This window comes from Homo sapiens, chromosome 2 (assembly GCF_000001405.40).
Source record: "Homo sapiens chromosome 2, GRCh38.p14 Primary Assembly".
In the NCBI taxonomy this organism is placed as follows: domain Eukaryota; kingdom Metazoa; phylum Chordata; class Mammalia; order Primates; family Hominidae; genus Homo; species Homo sapiens.
Window position 1 is genome coordinate 16,218,289 of NC_000002.12, and position 25,016 is coordinate 16,243,304.

At 46.5% G+C, this 25,016-nt stretch overlaps 2 annotated features.

Moving 5' to 3' along the window:
* Window positions 16,477–17,212: an enhancer, noted in NCBI's record as "NANOG-H3K27ac-H3K4me1 hESC enhancer chr2:16416033-16416768 (GRCh37/hg19 assembly coordinates)". NCBI's record gives its function as "activates a minimal SCP1, AML or CMV promoter by ChIP-STARR-seq in naive and primed H9 embryonic stem cells {active_cell/tissue: H9 hESC(naive and primed)}" and the evidence as "EXISTENCE:reporter gene assay evidence [ECO:0000049][PMID:30033119]".
* Window positions 17,213–17,948: an enhancer, noted in NCBI's record as "OCT4-NANOG-H3K27ac-H3K4me1 hESC enhancer chr2:16416769-16417504 (GRCh37/hg19 assembly coordinates)". NCBI's record gives its function as "activates a minimal SCP1, AML or CMV promoter by ChIP-STARR-seq in primed H9 embryonic stem cells {active_cell/tissue: H9 hESC(primed)}" and the evidence as "EXISTENCE:reporter gene assay evidence [ECO:0000049][PMID:30033119]".

Genomic DNA, 25,016 nt, shown 5'->3' on the forward strand with positions numbered 1-25,016 from the left:
GCTGAGGTGGGAGGATGGCTTGAGGCTAGCAGTTTGAGACCATCCTGGGCAACAAAACCAGACGCCCATCTCTACAAAAAAAATTTAAAAAATCAGCCAAGCATGGTGGCACATGCCTGTAGTCCCAGCTACTTGGGAGTCTGAGGCAGGAGTTCGAGGCTGCAGTGAGGGTGCCACTGCACTCCAGCCTGGGTGACAGAGCTGAGATTCTGATTCAAAAAAAAAAAAGAAAGAAAAAAGAAAAGAAAAGAAAAGAATGATAGAAATGTACACAAGGAGCTTTGGGAACAGAGGAGAGAGAGCAACTATCTCTGCCTGACCTTGAGTAAGTCATTTAAGTAATTCTGGTCCTCATCTTTAACATGGAATAGTCACAACTTGCACTTCACAGAGTTGTAATTCATGGTGCTTGTGTGAGGAACTCAGTGGGTATATAAAGGATCTGAAGTGGCCTAGGGCTTTCTCCAGAGTCCCTGGATTCGTCTAGGCCATATTGGCCCACAGCTTTCTCCATCTATTCACCAGCAGCCCAGCCAGCAGGGAACCTCGGGGAGCCCTGCGCCCTCTTCAGGCTGTCCTCCTGCCATACATTTACTAGTCTTCCCTGATTTGCCCCCATCAAGTTTTCTCTCTAGAGTATACTGGTGCATTTGGCCTTTTCCTTAGGCAGTTCAGAGGTAGGAGTGGATAAAAGCTGGAGCTCTGTAGTGTCAGGCAGACATTGGCTCAAATCCAGCTTTGCTCCTCAGCTAGATGCTAAATCTGGGGAAAGTTACTTAACGTCTCTGAGCCTCTGTTTCCTCACCTGTACGGGAGGGATAATGAGAGTGCTTCTCGGTAGGGCTGTGAGGATTGAATGAGGGGATCGGTCAGCTCCTCAGACCCAAGATCCTCTTGGGGTGGTGGTGGTGCGGGGATGGGTCCTTTACTTGCTCAATTAAAGTCCTGAGCAAGTACCAGGACCGGTGAGTGCTAAATGTTGGTAATGTTCTCCCTCCTCCTTCTGTTCCTCCCCCTCCCCCCTTCTCCCTCCCCCCTCATTGTTATTACTAAATGCAAGGTCAAGTGTGGCAGGGCTCTCACCCTGTTCGGTTTTGCACATGCTAAGATGGGGTCCCCCAGGACCATGTTCAGGGTAAGAGGGAATTGCAGGGGTCCTGGAGGCACGCTAAGGCTAAGGTGGGAGTTTAAATCCATACCAGCTGTGTGATTGTGAGCAAATTGCTTGCCCTCTCTGGGCCTAAGCTTCCCCATTGGTAAGATGGGGATACTGACACTTTCTCACAGGTTTGTTGTGAGGAGTAAACGAGATCATCTAAGTTCAGGGCATGGCAAGTCATGGGCACTGCCTTCTCTTCCCTGTCCAGAGGCTCAATGCCCGCTACACAGAACAAGCAGCAGCTTGTTAATGTCCCGACAAGCATCACTTGTGCTTTCACCGGGAGTCATGCCCCTAGGCCGCAGTGTCTTTGCTGCCTGTCTTCTGTAACTCAACCACCGCCCAGGAGGGCCATGGGTCTGTGGGGCTTGCCCAGTACCCAGGTGCCAACTGGCCTGCTGGTGGGGGCATCTATGGGCTAAGACTGCATCTTTAGATAACACTTTCCAGATAAGCCCTTTTCTCTTATGGGTATTTCGTATCAGCCCTGTGAGTTAGGTGCTCAATAATAACAAAGATGGCTGGGTGTGGTGGTTCATGCCTGTAATCCCAGCACTTTGGGAGGCCGGGGCGGGCAGATCGTGAGGTCAGGAGTTCAAGACCAGCCTGGCACACATACTGAAACCCTGTCTCTACTAAAAATACAAAAAAAAAAAAAAAAAAAAAAAATTAGCCAGGCGTGGTGACTGGCACCTGTAGTCCCAGCTACTTGGGAGGCTGAGGCAGGAGAATTGCTTGAACCCAGGAGGTGGAGGTTGCAGTGAGCTGAGATTGCAACACTGTGCTCCAGCCTGGGTGACAGAGCAAGACTCTGTCTCAAAAATAAAAATAAAATAAAATAAATAATAACAAAGATGACAGTAATAATAGTGACCAACAAATGTTGAGGATCCCGCCTGCCAGGTACTGTGCTAAGCCTGTCACTGCCTGACAGGATGCAGGGTGGCTTGCAGCAGACTTTCTTCTTTTTCCATTTTTATTTTTTTTTTGAGACGAGGTCTTGCCCTGTCACCCAGAATGGAGTGCAGTGGTGCCATCACAGCTCCCTGCAGCCTTGATCTCCCAGGCTCAAGTTATCCTCCCACCTCAGCCTCCTGAGTAGGTGGGACTACAGGTTTGTGCCACCATACTCAGCTAATTTTTTTTTTCTTTTTTGTTTTTTTTGAGACGGAGTCTCGCTGTGTCGCCCAGGCTGGAGTGCAGTGGTGCGATCTCGGCTCACTGCAAGCTTCGCCTCCTGGGTTCATGCCGTTCTCCTGCCTCAGCCTCCTGAGTAGCTGGGACTACAGGTGCCTGCCACCACGCCCGGCTAATTTTTTTTGTATTCTTAGTAGAAACGGGGTTTCACCGTGTTAGCCAGGCTGGTCTCATTCTCCTGACCTCGTGATCCACCGGCCTTGGCCTCCCAAAGTGCTGGGATTACAGGTGTGAGCCACCGCGCCCGGCCAGCTAATTTTTTTATTTTTTGAAGAGATGGAGTCTCACTATGTTGCCCAAGCTGGTTTCAAACTCCTGGGATGAAACAATCTTCCTGTCTCAGCCTCCCAAAGTGCTGGGATTACAGGTGTGAGCCACTGTGTCTGGCCAACAAACTTTTAAGGTAGAGTTTATCGGCCCCATTTCACAGAGAGGACTTGAAGGCTCCAAACAAGATGCTAAGTGACTTCAGAAGCTAAAGAGCTCACGCCGGCCACAGCTGGGAGCTTCATCCAGGTCTGGCTTTCTTCCAGCCTCATGCTCTTTTGTAAATCTGCACCGGCTTTCCTAGGTAAAGAAGAAAAAAGAGCACAAGGCTGGGGTTAGGATGAAAAGCCGTAGTCTCTGATCCTTAGGTGCATCGAATGATTTGTTTTATCATTAGACTTCCTGAACGAGGTCCTGAAACCCATGTTAGCAAAAGTCAGTTTCCTGGAGCCACCTCATAGTTCACCACCAGCAGAGGCCCTCAGGGCCCATTGTCCGTCACCAGGAGGGGCTCTCAGGCCCTTGCTGAGACCCACTTCCTCCCTGTGCTGCACATTCTTCCCAAAATCCATGCCTACCCTGAGACCCTCACGCACCCTGTGGTCCTCACAGCCCCATGATCCACATCCTCCCTGTGATCCATCTCCTCTCCATGATCCTTGCCCATCCTGTGGTCCATGTTGTCCCTGTGACCTACATCCATGTTTTGCTCAACATCCTCCCCATGATCCACATCCTCCCCATGATCCACAATCACCAGTGATCCACATCTATTCCATGATCCACATCCTCTCCATGCTCCACCTCCTCCCTGTGCCCCATGTCCAATCCGTGATCCACATCCACCCCGTGATCCATGTCCACCCCAAGATCCACATCCTCCCCATGATCCACATTCTCCCCGTGATCCATATCCACCTCGTGATCCACATCCACCCAATGATTTACATCTTCCCCATGATCCACATCCTCCCTATGATCCACATCCTCCCTGTGATCCAAGTCCACCCCGTGATCCACATCCACCCTATTCCCCATGTCCATCCCATGGTCCACATCAATCCGATGATCCACATTCTCCCCATGATCCATATCCTCCCTGTGATCCACATCCACCCCATGATCCACATCTTCCCTATGATCCACATCTTCCCCATGATCCACATCCTCCCCGTGATCTACATCCTCCCTGTGACCCACATTTACCCCATGATTCACATGCTCCCCATGATCCACATCCTCCTTGTGATCCACATCCAACCTGTGATGCACATCTTTCCTATGATCGACGTCCTCCTTGTAATCTAAACTCTAGCTCCCCACAAAAGCCTGCTCTGATCATGGTAGGGAGGGTAGCTGTTTCTTCTCTCGATAAAGCCTGTGGGCAGTTGAGACTGGATTTAACCCTGCTCTAGGGAGGACCAACACTGAGCAGTGAACAGCATCTTCCATGACACTGGTGCATCTCCCCTTCCTGCCTTTTCTGTGCTGTTCCCCTGCCCAAAATCTTCCCCAGTTCTGCTCTGCTGGCCAAGACCTGCACCATTCCCCAAGGCATTCCACATGCTGCCTCTTTCCAGGAAGCACCCCTGGGCCCTCCAAGTCAGGTAAGGACCCTACTCTGTGCCGGTACGGTCCTGGCCTCTGGCAATGGCAGCCTCTGGACTACTAAGTCATGTGACTGTCTCTTCTGTCAGACTGTGAGCCCATTGAGGGCAGAAGCCAGTCTTAGTCATCTATGTGTCCAGGAACCTCAGAACAATAGCTGGGGCTAATCAGACAGGACTAGCTCTGCTGCAGGAATGAATAAACCCTGAAATCCTGCTGGCTAAGCACAAAGCAGGTTCATTTGTTGCTCATGTTAAAGTTGGGCGATGGTCATGCAGTTAGCCTCAGTCATGTTGCTTTAAGCATTGCCATCAGAAATGGCTTCCTCCCTTCCCAGTGAAGGGAAGAGATAGCTGGAGAAACACATGGGATGATGTTAAGCCAGACCTGGAAGTGGCACGTGTCACTTCCACCCATCCCATTATCCAGAACCAGCCACACAACCCATCCCAGCTGCAAGGGAGGCTGGGAAACATTGAGGAGCATCTGGGCCTTGGATGAGCACCCGGATGAGAGGTTGGCTTCCACTCGATTTTAGGAAGCCCTTCCTAACAATCAGAGATCGTGATGGAAGAAGAGACTCACAACTGGCTAGCCGATGGAAATTAAGTTGCTTCCCTTCACCTCAGCCAGAGACTTGAGTTCAGACAAAAATCAGCTTCTTGAAAACAAGAGGCCGGGCCCTGGAAACTCCCGTTTAGCCCTGTCAGTCTTGAAGAAGCCTGGTGTTCCCAGCTCTCGGCATCCTTTGTCCTCTGTGAGCTCCCTTAGCCTGGAGAGGTGACTTCTTTATTCTTGGGAACTGCTATTTATAACTTCCAAAGGACCCCTACTCCTTTGCTTCTGAGGCTCAGAAAACGAGTCTGCCCTCCCCAGCCTCCCTCCCCCAACACCAGGCCTCTCTGCCCCCAGAGCAATCCCGTAAATAAAGGATGAAAGGCCCCGTAATTATTACCATTCGAAAACACAGAGACTGTCAAAACCAGGAGTCCAACAAAAGCCTTTACATAAATCACAGCTGATACAATGGCTCTTGGCTGAAGGGGAGAGGGGCTTAGAGTCTCAGCGCTGCTGAAAGAAGGTTTGTGTCTGGGGGAGGAATTGTCAGAGCAGTCCCTGGGGAAGAGACGAGGCCTGATGTCTGAACAGAGGGTGAGCCCGTCATCCTGCTGGGGACGACAGAGGCCATGGAAGGGAATGAGAGTGAAAATCTGGAGGCAGACTCCAGATGTGACATCTCCATGGGGCGGGATGGTCCAGATATCTGGGGCCTGTGCAGGTCACGCTCCATCACAGTCCACAGTCCACAGTCCACAGTCTATCCTGGCAGGGCAGTCCCTCCTAGGAGGGCATGCTGTCTTGCAGAGGTGCCAGGCAAGGGCAGTCCTCACCCAGTGAGTCACGGACATTAAGGGCTCTGGGCTCCAACAGAGGGGAGGTCTGAGTGGGCTGAGCTGCTCCCAGAAGGCTTCTGAAAGGCAAATGTGCTAGGCAGGGAAGGCTGTTTTCTGACAGGCAGAGGGGAGACTAGGACTCTGTGGGGTGGAGTGGTGTGGCTGCATCAGCTCAGGTTCCTTGAGAACGTGTCCACAAAACTGGAATTCCATGGTGGCCCTGTTGAGGAGCCCCGTCCCTGAGGAATGACAGAGACCTCTTCAGGGAGCAGCAAATTCCAGAAAAGCAGGGAAATTGGTAAGATATTTCATATCTCTGGGCAAAATTATTCCTTTTGAATGAACCATTCAGTGGCACATCAAGAATTCAGTGGCATTTAGCAAATGCTGGTGGCTCCTCTTACGTGCCATGCACTGCTCGACTCCGACTGCTCCTTCCTTTGAAGATGAATAAGACATTGTCCTTAAGATATTTAGAGTCCAGGGAAGGAGACAGACACAGAAACCAGAGCTATAAGGCAGGGTGACTAGTGCAGACAGACAGCTGCCCAGAGGCAGAGCCGCACAGCAGGGAGAGGCTGTGGCTCTGGAGCTGAGCCTCCTGGGTTTACGTCCCACCCTGCTGCTGTTGGCTTGATGACCTGGGCGAATCATCTACCTCTCTGGGCTTCAATCACATCCGAATATTAATGGCGGTTATGGGGATTGAAGGAGAATCAGCACAATGTCTGCTATCCAGTCACTGCTCTGTATTAGCCTCGCCTTAAATTGCTCGAATAGTAAGCAAGGGTTTATAAAGCATCTGTGTGCTAATCCCATCCTAAAGTGACAGGGATCAATTTAACCTCCTCATTTAAAAGATGAGGAGACAGGCTCAAAGGGCAAAGCCGACTCACCCAGGCTCACACAACCAGAGTGGCAGAGCCTCAGGGCTTGCCCTGCACAGCGTAGCTTCTGTTCTGAGAGGAATGCACCTGGGTTTTGTGTCTTTGGTGCTGGGGTGGTGAATGGGAGGCTCTGACCGATGGCAGAGTTCCCAGGGGATCCTTCAGGCAGCCGGGGGGCCTTTCTTATGGCAGGGCTCTGAAGCAAGTCCTGGCTGACCTTTTCTTGAAGCTGAGCTCTTCTGCCAAGACCCTTGGCCCTGCCCTTGGCCCCTGTAGAAATGCACACCTGTAAGCCTGTAATACCTTCTCCAGATCACAGCAACTAGGGAACTGCTGGAAGCCCACGTGGCTCAGGTCTACTCCTCACTCCTTGAGGATCCACGTGGCCCTTGGGTGGATCCACACTTCTGGGGATGGTGCGGTCCCAGCTGATCTCCCTGGGGGTCCAGTTAGCCTCATCCTCCTTCACCCAGGGTGGCTGCATGTCAGCACCTGCTCTACCTTCTACCTTAATGGCGTCCCCTAGGCTATCTGTCAGGGGAGTCTATGCAAAGGGGCCCCTTTGAACTTGCCTGTGCCACTCCACTTACCCCGGGCAGTTACCAGCAAGCCACAGCCTGGTGTTCAGAATTAAAGCAGGACTAAGGCGGGTACATGGTAGCTCCCCAAACAACATACCTCTAGATCCCCATGAGTGATCTGGGGCAGGCAGTGTCCCTGGAGGGGTGTATGTGTGGGGAGCACACAGAACAGCAAATCCTTCCTGAAAGCAGGATTGATGGGGACAGGAGCATCAGAGGAAGCTGGAGGACTCCATGTGGGCCCGAGAAGTCAGGCGAAAGGGAAGGAAAGGGCTTGTAGGCACTACCAAGGCTCAGATATTAGATATAGCCCTACAAGTGGCCACCCAGTTACATTAAAGTGAGTGCCCTCACCCTGCCTGCCAGAAGAGGGCCAGGCTGCAGTGCTGGCTGGGAGAGTATCCCTCCATAGAGGATATATCCTGGGCTGGTAGCATAGTGTTTTTCCAACTATGGGTGTAACTCATTAGTGGGTCCTGATGTCAATTTGATATATTAACCTCTGCGTTTAAAAATATAGAGGAGTGACCAGGCGTGGTGGCTCACACCTGCAATCCCAGCACTTTGGGAGGCCAAGGCAGGTGGATCACTTGAGGTCAGGAGTTCGAGACCAGCCTGGGCAAAAAGGTGAAACCCCGTCTCTACTAAAAATACAAAAATTAACCAGGCTTGGTGTCTGGCACCTGTAATCCTAGCTACTCAGGAGGCTGAGGCAGGAGAATCACCTGAACCCAGGAGGCAGAGGTTGCAGTGAGCTGAAATTGTGCCATTGCACTCTAGCCTGGGAGACAGAGTGAGACTCCATCCCCAACAAAATTAAATTAAAAAAATAAATAGAGGAGTATACAATAGAATAGAAAATGAAGTGCATTGCACACTGCAAGGCGCACATCATTTCAGTAAACTTTTGTGTATGTAGACCTATAGTGCAATATTACACAAAATAATTTTTATTGTATGGTTATTAATGTTGGAAATTCTGCTGTGGTATTTCAGTCTCTGAAATAGACTCAGCCCTGTGCTCGGGCAGAACGGGGTTCAAATGGCTGGTCCAGGCCCCTGGCTAAGTTGCTCACTCTTGAACCTCAGCTTCCACATCTGTTAGGTGAGGCTAATGTCACAGGCCTGACAGGACCTCTGTGAGGGTCCCAGGAGATGAAGCATATTAAGTGGGTTGGTGCACCGAGCAGGCTCACTAAATACTCACTCCCTGACCCTTTTCCCCACCCAAACTGTGGTGGAGAAGGAGTGTTTCATGGTGGGCAGCCCAGGTGCCAGTCCCCCCTCTTCCCCAGTGATGGGGTACCATTACCCCCATGACAGCCCATCTTGGTGCCAGGTTGAACTGCCAATTGCTCTATTTGAGGTCCCTATGCCCTGTCTCCACTGAAGTTAAGGTCCACTCCCCATTTTTATATGGGGACTGTAGACGCTGCGCATCAGGTACCCTCCTCCTCCTTCCCCTGGTGCATCAGACAGAACCCGGTATTGAGGCTTTGGGGGCAGGGAGAGGGGCAGGGCTGCTACAGGACATCTGTCCGTCCGTCTGTCTGTGAAGCTGCACCGGCGATTGGACCACCCTCTGCCCGCCTGTTCTTTCCCCTTCACGCCACCTGACAGCCTTACACAGAAAGCCAGCCTGGCCAGACCTGCCCCCTGAGTTGGTGGCACGGGGGAAGATGAGGGAATTAACTTCTGGCCCGCTGACAGTGGTGCAGCCTGCCAAAGCCGCCCGGGTAATTTGGTTCCTTTCCTTTGTTGACTTGGTGCCAGCGCACAAGAGCGGATTAAGCAGGGAAATTCTGCATGGAGAACTCTCCCCCTTGGCGCTCCAATCCCATTGTCTCCTGAGAATGACAGCCGCTGGTGGTGCCAACGCACACCGCTTCACTGGCACGTCCCCAAACAGATCAGCTTCCCATTCCTGAAAAGAGGGATTTGTTAAAGAACTGGAGTTAAAAGAAAGAAGGAGAGGCAGGAGAGGACAGGCTGCGTAGTAAAAGTTACGCCTGGTTTGTTAATTAAAGGAGCAAGGTCCCCTAATGCTAATGCTGATCCCTGCAGGGGACGTTGGTTCTTCTCAAATTCACCTCCTTTGGGGGATGATTTCAATTGGGCCCACACTTCCTGCGCCTGGGCATTGGGCTGTGTGCTGGTTGGTGAGGTGGAGATGAACAGCCAGCTCCTTTAAGAGACATGCATCAGTCCTTCTCTGTTTTCCAGAACACAGACACCTATGCAAAAACCTGGGATAATCGCGGGTAATATTTATTGAGTGCCAACTATGCGGCAGGCACTGTTCTAAGCATTTGATTCACATCAGCTAATTTAATGATTCTAATAACCTCATGAGGTCTGTATTATTGTTATTCTTATATTCCTGCTTTAATGATGGCAAACGTATGTATAAACAGTGGTGAGCTGTCCGTGTTAACAATTGCTCTCTGGAAAAATATAAAAAAACCAGCTCTGAGCATTGCAGCATTTGCCACTTTCTGTGGTGTCCACACTCCTACCACACTCGAGTACCAGCTTCCCATGGGAGGTCCCTGAACACAGAGCTGGGGGCAGTCACGACTTCAGTGCACAAGCAGGATCCCTGACGCCAATGGGTGACAAGAAACTTTTCCAAACTCATGCAGTTAAGTGGTGGAGCCAAGATTTGTACGCGGGTCACCTGGTTCCTGAGCCTCTTCTCTCAACTGCTGTACTGCTCAGCCTCTGATGACAGACAGAAAGAACATGAGGCCTCAGGGAGTTCTGAAGGTGAGAGAGGTATGGGACACGCCAGCACCTCTCAGTTCCTGCCTCACTGACAGTCCTCCTTCCTGGGACCCCGCCCCGCCCCGCCCCACCCCACCCCACCCCACCCCACCCCATGTTGTTCTCCTCCCTTACCAGCACTTGAGCCCGATAACTTCCGGTTCAAGAAATCCGGATGTACCACAACACACTTTCTGAGGCAGAACGTAAAAGGTAGAGCCACGTTTGGTATCCGAGGTAAACAATTTTTGTAGCCGCTAATGAAATCTTTAAATCCTCTCTTTGTACATCGTTTTCATTTTATTATCACAGCATGTTTGTGAGAAATACTTTAAAATTCTTCAGCCTAAGAGTAAAAAAAGCCCCCCCGCCCCACCCCCCGCTCCACTGTCAGTTTTCTCCCTTCTGTGTCTTGCATACTGGCTGATTGACTTTGTCCACTCCAGGTATCCTAACATCTTAACAGTCTCTTTGCTGGAAAGAAATCTTCAGTGGCTCCCATTACCTACGGATCCAGCCTGGCTTTTTAGTCCAGCATTCAAGACCTGTCAAGCTCTTCTGCATCCTCTCGTATGCATGTGATAGACAGGCACTCCACCTAGCGAAGTACAACCATCCCAAACTTATTCCTATTACTTTTCTTCCATTCATTCGTTCATACAATCAATCAGTCATCATTGAGGATTTATTAGACGATAGGTTCTGGAGACAAAAAGGTAGATAAATACGACGCAGTCTTTGCTTTTGAGGACTGTATCCCAGATACATCTGACTGGTTGTTCCTGCTGAAACATTTTTCCACCTCCATGCTTTTGCATACACTACTTTCTCCACCTGGAAGACCCTCTCTGCATTTCTGAACATGCACTTTTATTAACTGTCCACAGCTGCAGTGAGGCCTTCTTCATGAAGCCTCTCCCAGTTCTCCGCCTCACCCCACCAAGCTGGAACTGATCGCAGCCTCCAAACTCCCACAGCAATCCTTTGCCTCCTCTTCTGACGCTACTCTTTCTCTCTTGGATGAAAGCCGTGTGTATCCATGTTGGTTCTCCACTTCTAGAACCTGTCGTTTTGGGGCTGCAGGACTTGGTGGATTCACACTGGCATCCCCTCAGGAAGCAGGTGAGCAGGAAGTGACTGTTGGATGCACGAGAAAGCAAGGGAACCACAGAGGTGGGAAAATGCTGTCTCTTTTTCATTGTTAAGTCACTACTTTAGGCACAAGAGTGTAACTAAGTCCTTTCCAAATGGAAAATGGCTACTTTAGAGCCACGTGGACTCCTCACAAATTACATGTTGTGTCTTCTGTTCCTCTTTAAAATATTTTTCACAGGTAGCTTCATTAAAATGACGATCACTTCTGGGAGCAAATTAATAAATTCAAACATAGACTATTAGAATTTGAAGGGACCTGCAAGACCCTTCTCTCTTTAGCTCTCAATTTTAGATCTAAGAAAACTGGGTCAAGAGAGGCAAAAATAACTTACTCAAATTCCCTGTGAGTGCTTGTGGTATATTGTACAATACACCATAATAATTGTTTATAATAATTTAGTGATTCATTCAACTACTCTGCAAGTCAACTCTGTGTCAGGCAAAAGGTGATTCTAAACCATTGAGAAAAAGATAAAATATATTGGTTATTGAGGAGTAGTTTAACTTTTTAGAAATGCTTTCATCAACAGTAGCAAAAAGGAAAGCAAATAAAAGCTCATATAAGGTAAATTTCAGTTACCTGGAAAAGTTACCTATGTGAAGTGTTTCATTTTACAGGTGAACAGAGCAGTGAGACAGGGCCATATGACAACCTTTCCTTGTTCGCAGGGGATAGTTCAGGTTTACTTCTCTTGTAAACTTCTCTCTTCCCACCACAATTATTAATAGTGTGTTCTTTCACTCTCAAAAGTGTTCTGGCTTGGACAATGGCCATTCTACGTATAAAGCTTAGTCGTTTTTTCTTGTATAGCTATAATATCACTTTTTTTTTCTTTTTTTTCTTTTATTATTATACTTTAAGTTTTAGGGTACACGTGCACATTGTGCAGGTTAGTTACATATGTATACATGTGCCATGCTGGTGCACTGCACCCACTAACTCGTCATCTAGCATTAGGTATATCTCCCAATGCTATCCCTTCCCCTTCCCCCCACCCCACAACAGTCCCCAGAGTGTGATTTTCCCCTTCCTGTGTCCATGTGATCTCATTGTTCAATTCCCACCTATGAGTGAGAATATGAGGTGTTTGGTTTTTTGTTCTTGTGATAGTTTACTGAGAATGATGATTTCCAATTTCATCCATGTCCCTACAAAGAACATGAACTCATCATTTTTTATGGCTGCATAGTATTCCATGGTGTATATGTGCCACATTTTCTTAATCCAGTCTATCATTGTTGGACATTTGGGTTGGTTCCAAGTCTTTGCTATTGTGAATAGTGCCGCAATAAACATACGTGTGCATGTGTCTTTATAGCAGCATGATTTATAGTCCTTTGGGTATATACCCAGTAATGGGATGGCTGGGTCAAATGGTATTTCTAGTTCTAGATCCCTGAGGAATCGCCACACTGACTTCCACGATGGTTGAACTAGTTTACAGTCCCACCAACAGTGTAAAAGTGTTCCTATTTCTCCACATCCTCTCCAGCACCTGTTGTTTCCTGACTTTTTAATGATTGCCATTCTAACTGGTGTGAGATGGTATCTCATTGTGGTTTTGATTTGCATTTCTCTGATGGCCAGTGATGATGAGCATTTTTTCATGTGTTTTTTGGCTGCATAAATGTCTTCTTTTGAGAAGTGTCTGTTCATGTCCTTTGCACACTTTTTGATGGGGTTGTTTGTTTTTTTCTTGTAAATTTGTTTGAGTTCATTGTAGATTCTGGATATTAGCCCTTTGTCAGATGAGTAGGTTGCGAAAATTTTCTCCCATTTTGTAGGATGCCTGTTCACTCTGATGGTAGTTTCTTTTGCTGTGCAGAAGCTCTTTAGTTTAATTAGATCCCATTTGTCAATTTTGTCTTTTGTTGCCATTGCTTTTGGTGTTTTAGACATGAAGTCCTTGCCCACGCCTATGTCCTGAATGGTATTGCCTAGGTTTTCTTCTAGGGTTTTTATGGTTTTAGGTCTAACGTTTAAGTCTTTAATCCATCTTGAATTGATTTTTGTATAAGGTGTAAGGAAGGGATCCAGTTTCAGCTTTCTACATATGGCTAGCCAGTTTTCCCAGCACCATTTATTAAATAGGGAATCCTTTCCCCCTTGCTTGTTTTTCTCAGGTTTGTCAAAGATCAGATAGTTGTAGATATGCGGCATTATTTCTGAGGGCTCTGTTCTGTTCCATTGATCTATATCTCTGTTTTGGTACCAGTACCATGCTGTTTTGGTACCAGTGCCATGCTGTTTTGGTTACTGTAGCCTTGTAGTATAGTTTGAAGTCAGGTAGTGTGATGCCTCCAGCTTTGTTCTTTTGGCTTAGGATTGACTTGGCAATAAGGGCTCTTTTTTGGTTCCATATGAACTTTAAAGTAGTTTTTTCCAATTCTGTGAAGAAAGGCATTGGTAGCTTGATGGGGATGGCATTGAATCTGTAAATTACCTTGGGCAGTATGGCCATTTTCACGATATTGATTCTTCCTACCCATGAGCATGGAATGTTCTTCCATTTGTTTGTATCCTCTTTTATTTCCTTGAGCAGTGGTTTGTAGTTCTCCTTGAAGAGGTCCTTCACATCCCTTGTAAGTTGGATTCCTAGGTATTTTATTCTCTTTGAAGCAATTGTGAATGGGAGTTCACTCATGATTTGGCTCTCTGTTTGTCTGTTGTTGGTGTATAAGAATGCTTGTGATTTTTGTACATTGATTTTGTATCCTGAGACTTTGCTGAAGTAGCTTATCAGCTTAAGGAGATTTTGGGCTGAGACAATGGGGTTTTCTGGATATACAATCATGTCATCTGCAAAGAGGGACAATTTGACTTCCTCTTTTCCTAATTGAATACCCTTTATTTCCTTCTCCTGCCTAATTGCCCTGGCCAGAACTTCCAACACTATGTTGAATAGGAGTGGTGAGAGAGGGCATCCCTGTCTTGTGCCAGTTTTCAAAGGGAATGCTTCCAGTTTTTGCCCATTCAGTATGATATTGGCTGTGGGTGTGTCATAGATAGCTCTTATTATTTTGAAATATGTCCCACCAATACCTAATTTATTGAGAGTTTTTAGCATGAAGGGTTGTTGAATTTTGTCAAAGGCCTTTTCTGCATCTATTGAGATAATCATGTGGTTTTTGTCTTTGGCTCTGTTTATATGCTGGATTACATTTATTGATTTGTGTATATTGAACCAGCCTTGCGTCCCAGGAATGAAGCCCACTTGATCATGGTGGATAAGCTTTTTGATGTGCTGCTGGATTCGTTTTGCCAGTATTTTATTGAGGATTTTTGCATCAATGTTCATCAAGGATATTGGTCTAAAATTCTCTTTTTTGGTTGTGTCTCTGCCAGGCTTTGGTATCAGAATGATGCTGGCCTCATAAAATGAGTTAGGGAGGATTCCCTCTTTTTCTATTGATTGCAATAGTTTCAGAAGGAATGGTACCAGTTCCTCCTTGTACCTCTGGTAGAATTCAGCTGTGAATCCATCTGGTCCTGGACTCTTTTTGGTTGGTAAGCTATTGATTATTGCCACAATTTCAGATCCTGTTATTGGTCTATTCAGAGATTCAACTTCTTCCTGGTTTAGTCTTGGGAGAGTGTATGTGTTGAGGAATTTATCCATTTCTTCTAGATTTTCTAGTTTATTTGCGTAGAGGTGTTTGTAGTATTCTCTGATGGTAGTTTGTATTTCTGTGGGATCGGTGGTGATATCCCCTTTATCATTTTTTATTGCGTCTATATGATTCTTCTCTCTTTTTTTCTTTATTAGTCTTGCTAGCAGTCTATCAATTTTGTTGATCCTTTCAAAAAACCAGCTCCTGGATTCATTAATTTTTTGAAGGGTTTTTTGTGTTTCTATTTCCTTCAGTTCTGCTCTGATTTTAGTTATTTCTTGCCTTCTGCTAGCTTTTGAATGTGTTTGCTCTTGCTTTTCTAGTTCTTTTAATTGTGATGTTAGGGTGTCAATTTTGGATCTTTCCTGCTTTCTCTTGCGGGCATTTAGTGCTATAAATTTCCCTCTACACACTGCTTTGAATGTGTCCCAGAGATTCTGGTATGTTGTGTCTTTGTTCTCGTTGGCTTCAAAGAACATCTTTATTTCTGCCTTCATTTCGTTATGTACCCAGTAGTCATTCAGGAGCAGGTTGTTCAGTTTCCATGTAGTTGAGCGGTTTTGAGTGAGATTCTTAATCCTGAGTTCTAGTTTGATTGCACTGTGGTCTGAGAGATAGTTTGTTATAATTTGTGTTCTTTTACATTTGCTGAGGAGAGCTTTACTTCCAAGTATGTTGTCAATTTTGGAATAGGTATGGTGTGGTGCTGAAAAAAATGTATATTCTGTTGATTTGGGGTGGAGAGTTCTGTAGATGTTTATTAGGTCCACTTGGTGCAGAGCTGAGTTCAATTCCTGGGTATCCTTGTTGACTTTCTGTCTCGTTGATCTGTCTAATGTTGACAGTGGGGTGTTAAAGTCTCCCATTATTAATGTGTGGGAGTCTAAGTCTCTTTGTAGGTCACTCAGGACTTGCTTTATGAATCTGGGTGCTCCTGTATTGGGTGCATATATATTTAGGATAGTTAGCTCTTCTTGTTGAATTGATCCCTTTACCATTATGTAATGGCCTCTTTGTCTCTTTTGATCTTTGTTGGTTTAAAGTCTATTTGAGGGTAACCCGACCTTTCTCTCTGGCTGCCCTTAACATTTTTTCCTTCATTTCAACTTTGGTGAATCTGACAATTATGTGTCTTGGAGTTGCTCTCCTTGAGGAGTATCTTTGTGGCGTTCTCTGTATTTCCTGAATCTGAACGTTGGCCTGCCTTGTTAGATTGGGGAAGTTCTCCTGGATAATATCCTGCAGAGTGTTTTCCAACTTGGTTCCATTCTCCCCGTCACTTTCAGGTACACCAATCAGACGTAGATTTGGTCTTTTCATATAGTCCCATATTTCTTGGAGGCTTTGCTCATTTCTTTTTATTCTTTTTTCTCTAAACTTCCCTTCTCGCTTCATTTCATTCATTTCATCTTCCATTGCTGATACCCTTTCTTCCAGTTGATGGCATCGGCTCCTGAGGCTTCTGCATTCTTCACGTAGTTCTCGAGCCTTGGTTTTCAGCTCCATCAGCTCCTGTAAGCACTTCTCTGTATTGGTTATTCTAGTTATACATTCTTCTAAATTTTTTTCAAAGTTTTCAACTTCTTTGCCTTTGGTTTGAATGTCCTCCCGTAGCTCAGAGTAATTTGATCGTCTGAAGCCTTCTTCTCTCAGCTCGTCAAAGTCGTTCTCTGTCCAGCTTTGTTCCGTTGCTGGTGAGGAACTGCGTTCCTTTGGAGGAGGAGAGGCGCTCTGCGTTTTAGAGTTTCCAGTTTTTCTGTTCTGTTTTTTCCCCATCTCTGTGGTTTTATCTACTTTTGGTCTTTTATGATGGTGATGTACAGATGGGTTTTTGGTGTGGATGTCCTTTCTGTTTGTTAGTTTTCCTTCTAACAGACAGGACCCTCAGCTGCAGGTCTGTTGGAGTACCCTGCTGTGTGAGGTGTCAGTGTGCCCCTGCTGGGGGGTGCCTCCCAGTTAGGCTGCTCGGGGGTCAGGGGTCAGGGACCCACTTGAGGAGGCAGTCTGCCCGTTCTCAGATCTCCAGCTGCGTACTGGGAGAACCACTGCTCTCTTCAAAGCTGTCAGACAGGGACATTTAAGTCTGCAGAGGTTACTGCTGTCTTTTTGTTTGTCTGTGCCCTGCCCCCAGAGGTGGAGCCTACAGAGGCAGGCAGGCCTCCTTGAGCTGTGGTGGGCTCCACCCAGTTCGAGCTTCCTGGCTGCTTTGTTTACCTAAGCAAGCCTGGGCAATGGTGGGCGCCCCTCCCCCAGCCTCGCTGCCACCTTGCAGTTTGATCTCAGACTGCTGTGCTAGCAATCAGCGAGACTCCGTGGGGTAGGACCCTCCGAGCCAGGTGCGGGATATAATCTCGTGCTGCGCCGTTTTTTAAGCCCGTCGGAAAAGCGCAGTATTTGGGTGGGAGTGACCCGATTTTCCAGGTGCCGTCCGTCACCCCTTTCTTTCACTAGGAAAGGGAACTCCCTGACCCCTTGCGCTTCCCGAGTGAGGCAACGCCTCGCCCTGCTTCAGCTCGCGCACGGTGCGCGCACCCACTGACCTGCGCCCACTGTCTGGCACTCCCCAGTGAGATGAACCTGGTACCTCAGATGGAAATGCAGAAATCACCCTTCTTCTGCGTCGCTCACTCTGGGAGCTGTAGACCGCAGCTGTTCCTATTCGGCCATCTTGGCTCCTCCCCCCGTAATATCACTTTTTAATTAATAGCAGATTCTAAGCAATGTGTCACTGATCTGTTGCTGTCGAACCCTGGACATCTCAAGGCTGCCTGCTTGTGAGAGAGCTCCCAGAAAACTGTCAGCAATGCCAGCGGATGCCCTCTTTCCTCTCAGTGTCTTGCTACTGTGAATATGTTCTGTCCACAAATGCTATGGCACAACCTTCCAAATCCCAGGAAAATAAAGGACACCTCGAAGCAGGTTGGTCTGTTTTGCCAAAAATAGAAGCTACCAGCAGTCTTGGGGGTGAGGAGATAGAGGATGTTGATGGTGTGTCATAGGCCAGATGCAAGTCATTCCAGGCATTTTTGCATAAAAATCCACTTCCAATCTTCCTACATGAATTGCCATTAGGTACATTGCTTTAAAGTGTTAAATGAACCATCAAGTTTTTCACTTGGCAATTGCTAAACTTCCAAAAAATCTGCTTTGTCAGTTTTGGATACTCACATTGTTTGAATTGTCTGTTGCTGTCTAACTCCCATTCTTGGGGGTAGATGGAGAGAAAGATGACTTGATGAGAATGTGTATGGGAGCAACTCACCTCCCACACTCTTGAGAAGGCTTGTCAGAGGACCTAAATGACATCACATCACCCAACCTCTATTGTACATCTTTGTAGAAACTGATATGAGAGACTAGGTGTCCCAGATGGTTGAAAAGATATTAGGACTCAATTTCCACCTATATCTTACTCCATGACAGCTGTTTCTTACCTGGGCCCCTGTCTTTAATCTGTTCCCTCACAGTTCACCCTCTCCACTGCAACCTAAGAGATCATTCTGGACCAGAGAGACACAGGCAGAATCTAGCTTCCAACACTCTGGGGTTTCGCTACCTCCAGATTTAATGTCCAAGCACAATATCATAAAGCCCTCAATAAGCTGATCATTGTTTCTTTCTTGCTACATTTTCCAGTATAAGTTTTCTTCTATTGTGTACTTTTGAGTTAAAATGAAAACAGGTTAGATGTGTTGGCTCACTCCTGTAATCCCAGCACTTTGGGAGGCCAAGGTGGGGGGATTGCTAGAGCCCAGGAGTTTGAGACCAGCCTGGGTAACATAGTGAGACCCCATCTTTACAAAAAATAATTTCAAACAATTAGCCAGGCATGGTGGTGCACATCTGTAATCCCAGCTACTTGGGAGGCTGAGGTGGGAGGATCACTTGAGCCTGGGAGGTTGAGGCTGCAGTGAGCTGTGATTATGTCACTGCACTCCAGCCTGGGTGACAGAGCAAGAGCCTGTCTCAAAAAGAAAAAACAAACAAACAAAAACAAAAATAAAGTGAAAACAGTCATGCACCAGAATTAAATGCATCAACTCTCACCACTACCAACAGATGGCATGAGAAGGTGCTTGTAAAATACCACTTTGGACTTAAGAACACTCTAGGAACCAACTTTTCTGTAAGCAGAGGAGCTTCTTTTTCTCTAATTTTCTCCTCTATTTATCCACCAACTCATCCATCCATCCATTCATTCATCCATCCATCTATCCTCCCATTTATCCATCTATCCATCCATTCATCCATCCTCCCATTTAACCATCCATCCATCTATCCATCCATCCATCCACCCACCCATCCATCCATTCTTTCAACAGGCAATTGCTTGCTTGCTCTGTGCCAGACACTTGAGCTCTGTGGTGGTAATCATTGGGGGAACAATGAAGCCCCTGGCCTCAAGAAACTTGGAATCTCGTACAAAAGTGTTGTATTCCCCCTGCATGCTTGCCATTGCCTATGACCATACGGCATCCTTCACCTAGAGTATCATTATTTATGTTCTCCATCTAGAAAATGCTTCACTAACATTAAGAGTTAGTTAAAGCACTTCTTTCTAAGACTATCCATATCTCCCCATCAGTAAGAATATGGAGTCAGACCTGCAAAAAACCTCATGGTGTCAGACAATGCACAGGAAGCTTATTTCCCCTTTATTACCCATGGGACTTTAAAGAGATCTTTCTCTTTTTTTGAAACAGGGTCTGGCTCTGTTATTCAGGCTGAGTGCAGTGGCATGATTGAGGCTCACTGCCACCTCTGGCTCCCAGGCTCAAGCAATTCTCCCATCTCAGCCTCCCAAGTAGCTGGGACTACAGGCATGTGCCATGACACCTGGCTAATTTTTGTATTTTTAGTAGAGATGGGGTTTAGTCATATTGCCCAGGCTGGTCTCAAACTCCTGGGCTCAAGTGATCCGCCTGTCTCGGCTTCCCAAAGTGCTGGGATTACAAGCATCAGCCACCTTGCCCGGCCTTAAACAAATCATTTAATCTCTCAGGGCCTTAGTTGCTCAAACCATAAAATGGGAAGGATAATAATTGCTTATCTAATCTCACGGGGTAGTTGTGAGATTCACATAGTTGTCTAAATGCCTTAAACCACTGACTTTCTGTTGATTCATTTATTCCCTCAACATTTGTTAAGTGCTCTTTGGGCCAACCCTTGTGTTAGTTCTGGGGATTTATATTTAAGTGGACCCTTCCCACAGGGAACACATCACCTAGAGCAGGCAACAGTCATGGAAAAATTCCCACGCAGTGAGACATGTGATGAAAAAAGCCAGCGTGGGGAGGGTGGCTTCAAACATGAACATCATGCGATTTAAAATAACCAGAGCATGCATTCGCCTCACACTCACTATGCACACTGTCCTGTTCTCATGCTTTGCTTGCATTTGCCCATTTAATTCTCACATTTATTATCTCTCTTTGAAATAGGAACATTTATGATCCCCATTATACAGATGAGAAAAATGTAAGCAAAGGATGGTATGGCTAGTAATAGGCAGAGGTAATATTTCAACCTCCTAAGCCCTTTATAAACAAGCTCCACAGGTAGGGGTGAATGGGCATCCCATGGGGCCAAGGCAGTGAGTGAGGGTGTTGGCATGACCAGAGCAGAAGAAGGTGAGCTCGCGGGAGCAGGTCGAATTCCTGAGGGCAGGCAGCCTGGCTGAGGAATCTGCAGCCCCCAAGGTTACTGAAAATAGGTATCGTGTGATCAAACGCAGGCCTTCTAGGAACTTGGATTTACCTCCTTTTTTTGTCCTCCTTCTTCCCTCTCCTTTCATTCCTGGGGAATGTCTTGCCTGTCCTCTTGGACGCTGGCCTTGAACAAAGATGGCTTAAAAAAATAGTTGGAGGCGAGAATCAACTTTCACTTCATTAAAAAAAAAATTCTTTTTCCTTTCCTTTTTTTTTTTTTCCAGAGATAAGTTTCACTAATTTTTTTTTTCCAGAGTTGAGGTTTGCTATGTTGCCCAGGTGATTCTACTGCCTCAGCCTCCAGAGTAGCTGAGATTACAGGCCTGTGCCCCCACCCCTGTCTCTAGAACTAGGTTTTGGTTTGCAGAGTGGTAACATTCCCTGGCTACAGTTGTATGTTATGAGCCTTGTACATTTGCAGAGTATATGGGAAGAAAGCAGCCATTCATCAAGATCTCTCCTTACCTGTTGGACTTTGGATATATGACAAGAAGTTACTAAATGTCTAAGTAATGTCTTTTCCTTTTTATCTAAAAGACCCTAAAAATATGAGTATTTGGCATCATTCTGTCAACAATTGATTTGATTTGCCGTGAACTGATCTTTGCTAGGGTTCCAAGTTGGTTTAAATCAATGAGCTCTCTCTTTTTTGTTTTTGTCTCTCAAATTGTATTGCTTTGGAGAGTTTTTCTTTGAAAAGCTTTTATTGACTTTTGCTAAAAGAAGAAGCGATGTGTCAGATTCTAAATGAAATCCTCTTTCTGAGGAGCTGTGAGGTCCCCACAATGTGTCAACAACAATCAAGATGTTGAAATTGAAAGCATTCACAGAGGTCATTCAGCCCAGCCATTCCCAGATCTGACCGATCACCGGAATCATGTGGGCATCAGAGACAGAGCAACAACAACAAGCTACAACAGCAGCAGCAGCAGCAGCAGCAGCAGCAGCAGCAGCAGCAGCAGCAGAATGAAGGAATGAATGAATGAATGAGCGAGTGAGTGAGTAAATCCGCATTTCTGGAGGAGACTGTATTTACGAAGAATCTTCCCAGATCTCTATGGCAGCATGTCTGGGGACCCCTGCAGTCACTGGTCTCTCCAACAGGGCAGCAACCCAGAATGGTGCAATTTTGGCATTGCACACACCTGAGGAGGCACATGGGGGCTGAAATCCAGTCCAAGCTCCAAGGGAAAGACTTCTTTTTCTCTGTGTGACTCCCCCAACCTGTGGAGTGTGCCTCTAGGGCTGCATCCATGCAAGGGGACACCTTTTCCTAATTTTCACAAAGGTTCCCTATAGGTTAATGGGGGCATTGCTAAGAAACCCAAATGCTGCAATGATTTTTAAGGACCATGCTGATTGATGGTCATCTTGGACTGCCACTGAGGTCTCACATTTTACTGTTAGTTCATTCTCTTCCTCCACTCCTCTACTACCTGCAACCATAGTCTTGCTCTAGATCCTGCAGCCCATGACATCCCATTCCTCTTTCCCCAGGGAGACCCTCACGGATTTTGAAAACAACCTGTTCCCACTTGTCCTAGGTTTATTGGTCAGAATATCCCCGCTTCTTTCTGAATAACCTGGATTTGGTTTTCTTTCCATTTATCAAATTCTCCCATAATCTGTATCATCCACATGGATGGACACTTCATTTGGTCACTCACTCATTGTTTCACTCATGAGTGCATACTGTGCAGCTGGTTCACCATGCACTAGTTACCAGCTTGTCTAGTCTCATGAGGCAGAACACCCATGCATATCACAGGTTACATAAAGAGGGTTTATTACTTACAGATAGATAGCAAGGGGCAAGAGATGCCGAGGGCCTGTTGTAAACCCATCCCCCAAGACTCAGGGAAGCTGCCTGGGGTGGATAGAGCTTCAACTGCACACGCTTCATTTGCAGCACTGCAGAGGGACCCTGGAAAGCAGCATTCCATGGGTTTTATACCCTAAGGTCACATGACATGTGGGGCTGAAGCACTGATGGAATCTTGTTTCTGAGGGAGACTGGGACAGAGCTCTGGCTATTCCGGCCAGCTCCTCTCTATCTCAAGGATGTGGCATTCTCAGCACATTCTAAATTTTTTTTTTTTTTTTGAGATAAGGCCTCACTCTGTTGCCCTGACTGGAGTGCTGTGGTGCAATGATGGCTCACTGCAGCCTTGACCTCCCAGGCTCATGCAATCCTCCCACCTCGCCTCCAAGGTAGCTGAGACTACAGGTGTGCACACCATGCCTGGCTAATTTTTTTTTTAAGTTTCTGTAGAGACAGGGTCTTGCTATGTTGCCCAGACTGATTCTCAGTGCATTCTAAAACAGGGGAGAACTGGATTGGTTGAAGACCATCCTGATCATATGCCAAGCATTCGACAGTTGTTCATCAAATATTTATTAGTGCGACTATGTTTTAGTCTCTTCTCCAGCCTTTGGGGATATAGTGACAAGCAAAATAGAACATGTTTCTTATTTCATGGTTCTTTAAGTCTAGTGGTAGGGAAGACAGATAACAGACAAGTAAACCAATAAATAAGAAAGATAATTTTAAACAGTGTTGAGTCAAGCACTTTGCAAGGTGTTAAAGGAGTAAGGAGATGAAAAAAGTGCTTTCTGCAAGTTGCTTACAGTCTAGTGGGGAGATTCATTCAAACTCATAGTTTCCACCTGGCTTTGCTCATATTGAAATCAAGGCTTGTAGGAGACCATTGGAGCATGGGGCCAAAAGGCCTAGGGAGGAGGAGGGGTCCCTCTCTGGGATCAGGCCTCCTCAGCCCAGAGGCAGCAGGTTCTTACCCAGTTAGGATTATTCTAGTTTGTTTTAAATAACTCTGGCTTACTACATTGTTTTTAAGGTCACGTTGGGTAGACTTGATTTTAGAGTCTGATTCTTTTTTAGGTGTGGAAGGAGTTTTCCATGAGAGAATAAAACCCCACATTGCAATTCCCATTTCAGTCTGGTGGGCCTTGGAGCCAAAATAGTTTGTGCACTAAGTGCTAAGCTATGCAGAGATGGGAGATATTCAGCTCCTTCAATCTGGTAGGCTTGGCAGGGCGAGCTCTTGGTAACAATGACTTCCTATATACCAACTATAGTATAAAAACTGTGGCTTGTGTTTTGTCTTGCTCTGTGCCCTCTGGGGCCAATTCCAGCTCCAAGCTCCCTTTGAAGTTTCTGTGCCTGGATTGGCTTCACAGGCTCTGAAGCCAGATGAGAAATGGGCCCATTATTAATGGGGGCAAAGAATTCGCACCCTCTTCATTCTGTGTGGGTGGTATTGGGATTCCATGGGATACCCTAGGGGAGAGTGTCAGACTGCTCAGAGCACTGGTGCCGGGCTTGGCACTGGTTCTTTTTGGGATCTGTTGGCACTGAATGGCACTGGACAGTAATGACTTCCCTGTGTTTAGCTGCGAGTGATGAGAGGTTACTCTGGACAGATGATGGGTGTGGTGGGGGTCATGCATTAGGAGAGCAGATTCATTCATTGTTTAATTGATTGGTTCGCTCATTCAAACATTTACTAAGTTCCATTCTGTGCCAGGTCTTATGTTTCTCCATTTCTCAGGGAACAAAGAGCCACAAGATTTTGGTAGAGAAGATGAGTGTGCAAGGGACTTGGTGCAAAGCAGAGTTATAGGCACCCTGGAAAAAATCTGAGTAGCAGGGGGCAAGGCACAGTGAAGGAAGTCATCCGTTCTCTCTGGCTGGGGGTGGTTAAAAAAGGCTTCAAGGAGGAGGTGGTGTTTGAACTGTATTTTAAAAGTTAACATCAGGAACAGACCAATGATAGGAATGTGGGTGTATTACATTATGATGAGACACATTCTACTCTGTTTACAAAGTCTTAACCAAGCTTTTAGGGTGGCTCAATTCTGTTCACAAGGAGTGGGTAATGAGCTGGTTCTATTTAGTAAGATAGAGACAGAAGAGTACCCTGGTCTAGTAGTCAAGAAACCCGAGTTTGTGATGAGTCCTCGCTTGCCCTCCATGGATGTTGTTTTACTCAGCTATAACATGAGAGATGTGGACAACTTCAGCAATATTTCACCATTTCCTAGGAAGAGTTGAAATGGTTGCGGTAGGGGTAGAGAGCTGAGATCTCTTGCTAGTCCACCCCTTGCTCCCTAAGGGGTCCCACAAAGCAAAGCTGAGCTTTGCAGAACATCTTGTCAACCTTGTGAAGAAATGGCTTCTAAGACCCTTTCCAGTCTGATACTTGGAGCTTGATCTCAAATTGAGTCCAGTAAATTCACAGCAATGTGACCTTGGTGAGCCTTCTTTCTTGCTTATGAGCCCTTCTTCCTCCCTCATTTCCACATCTGTAGGATAACAGGTTGGACAATATGACCTGGAAGCCCTGTCTCTTCTGGCTTTACAGACCAAAGACCTACAGATCCAACTACACTGGCTGTGCAGGGGATTTGGTTATAAGGAAAGAAAAAGGATTCTATTTGTCAGGTGCCTTCCACAGACCACACACAGGGCTAGGGGTTTTGCTTACACTACACTTCATCCTTCCAGCACAGAAGTCTCTTGAGGCTGTTATAATTGTCATAGCTTTAAAGATAAGAAAACAAGCCCAAAGAGATGAAAGAACTGGAGAAAATTCTCCAGGGTTGTGTGAAAGAACAGGAGAGTGGATGGGGGCCTCTGCCTCTCAGTCCAGGGCTGTTTCTGTCAT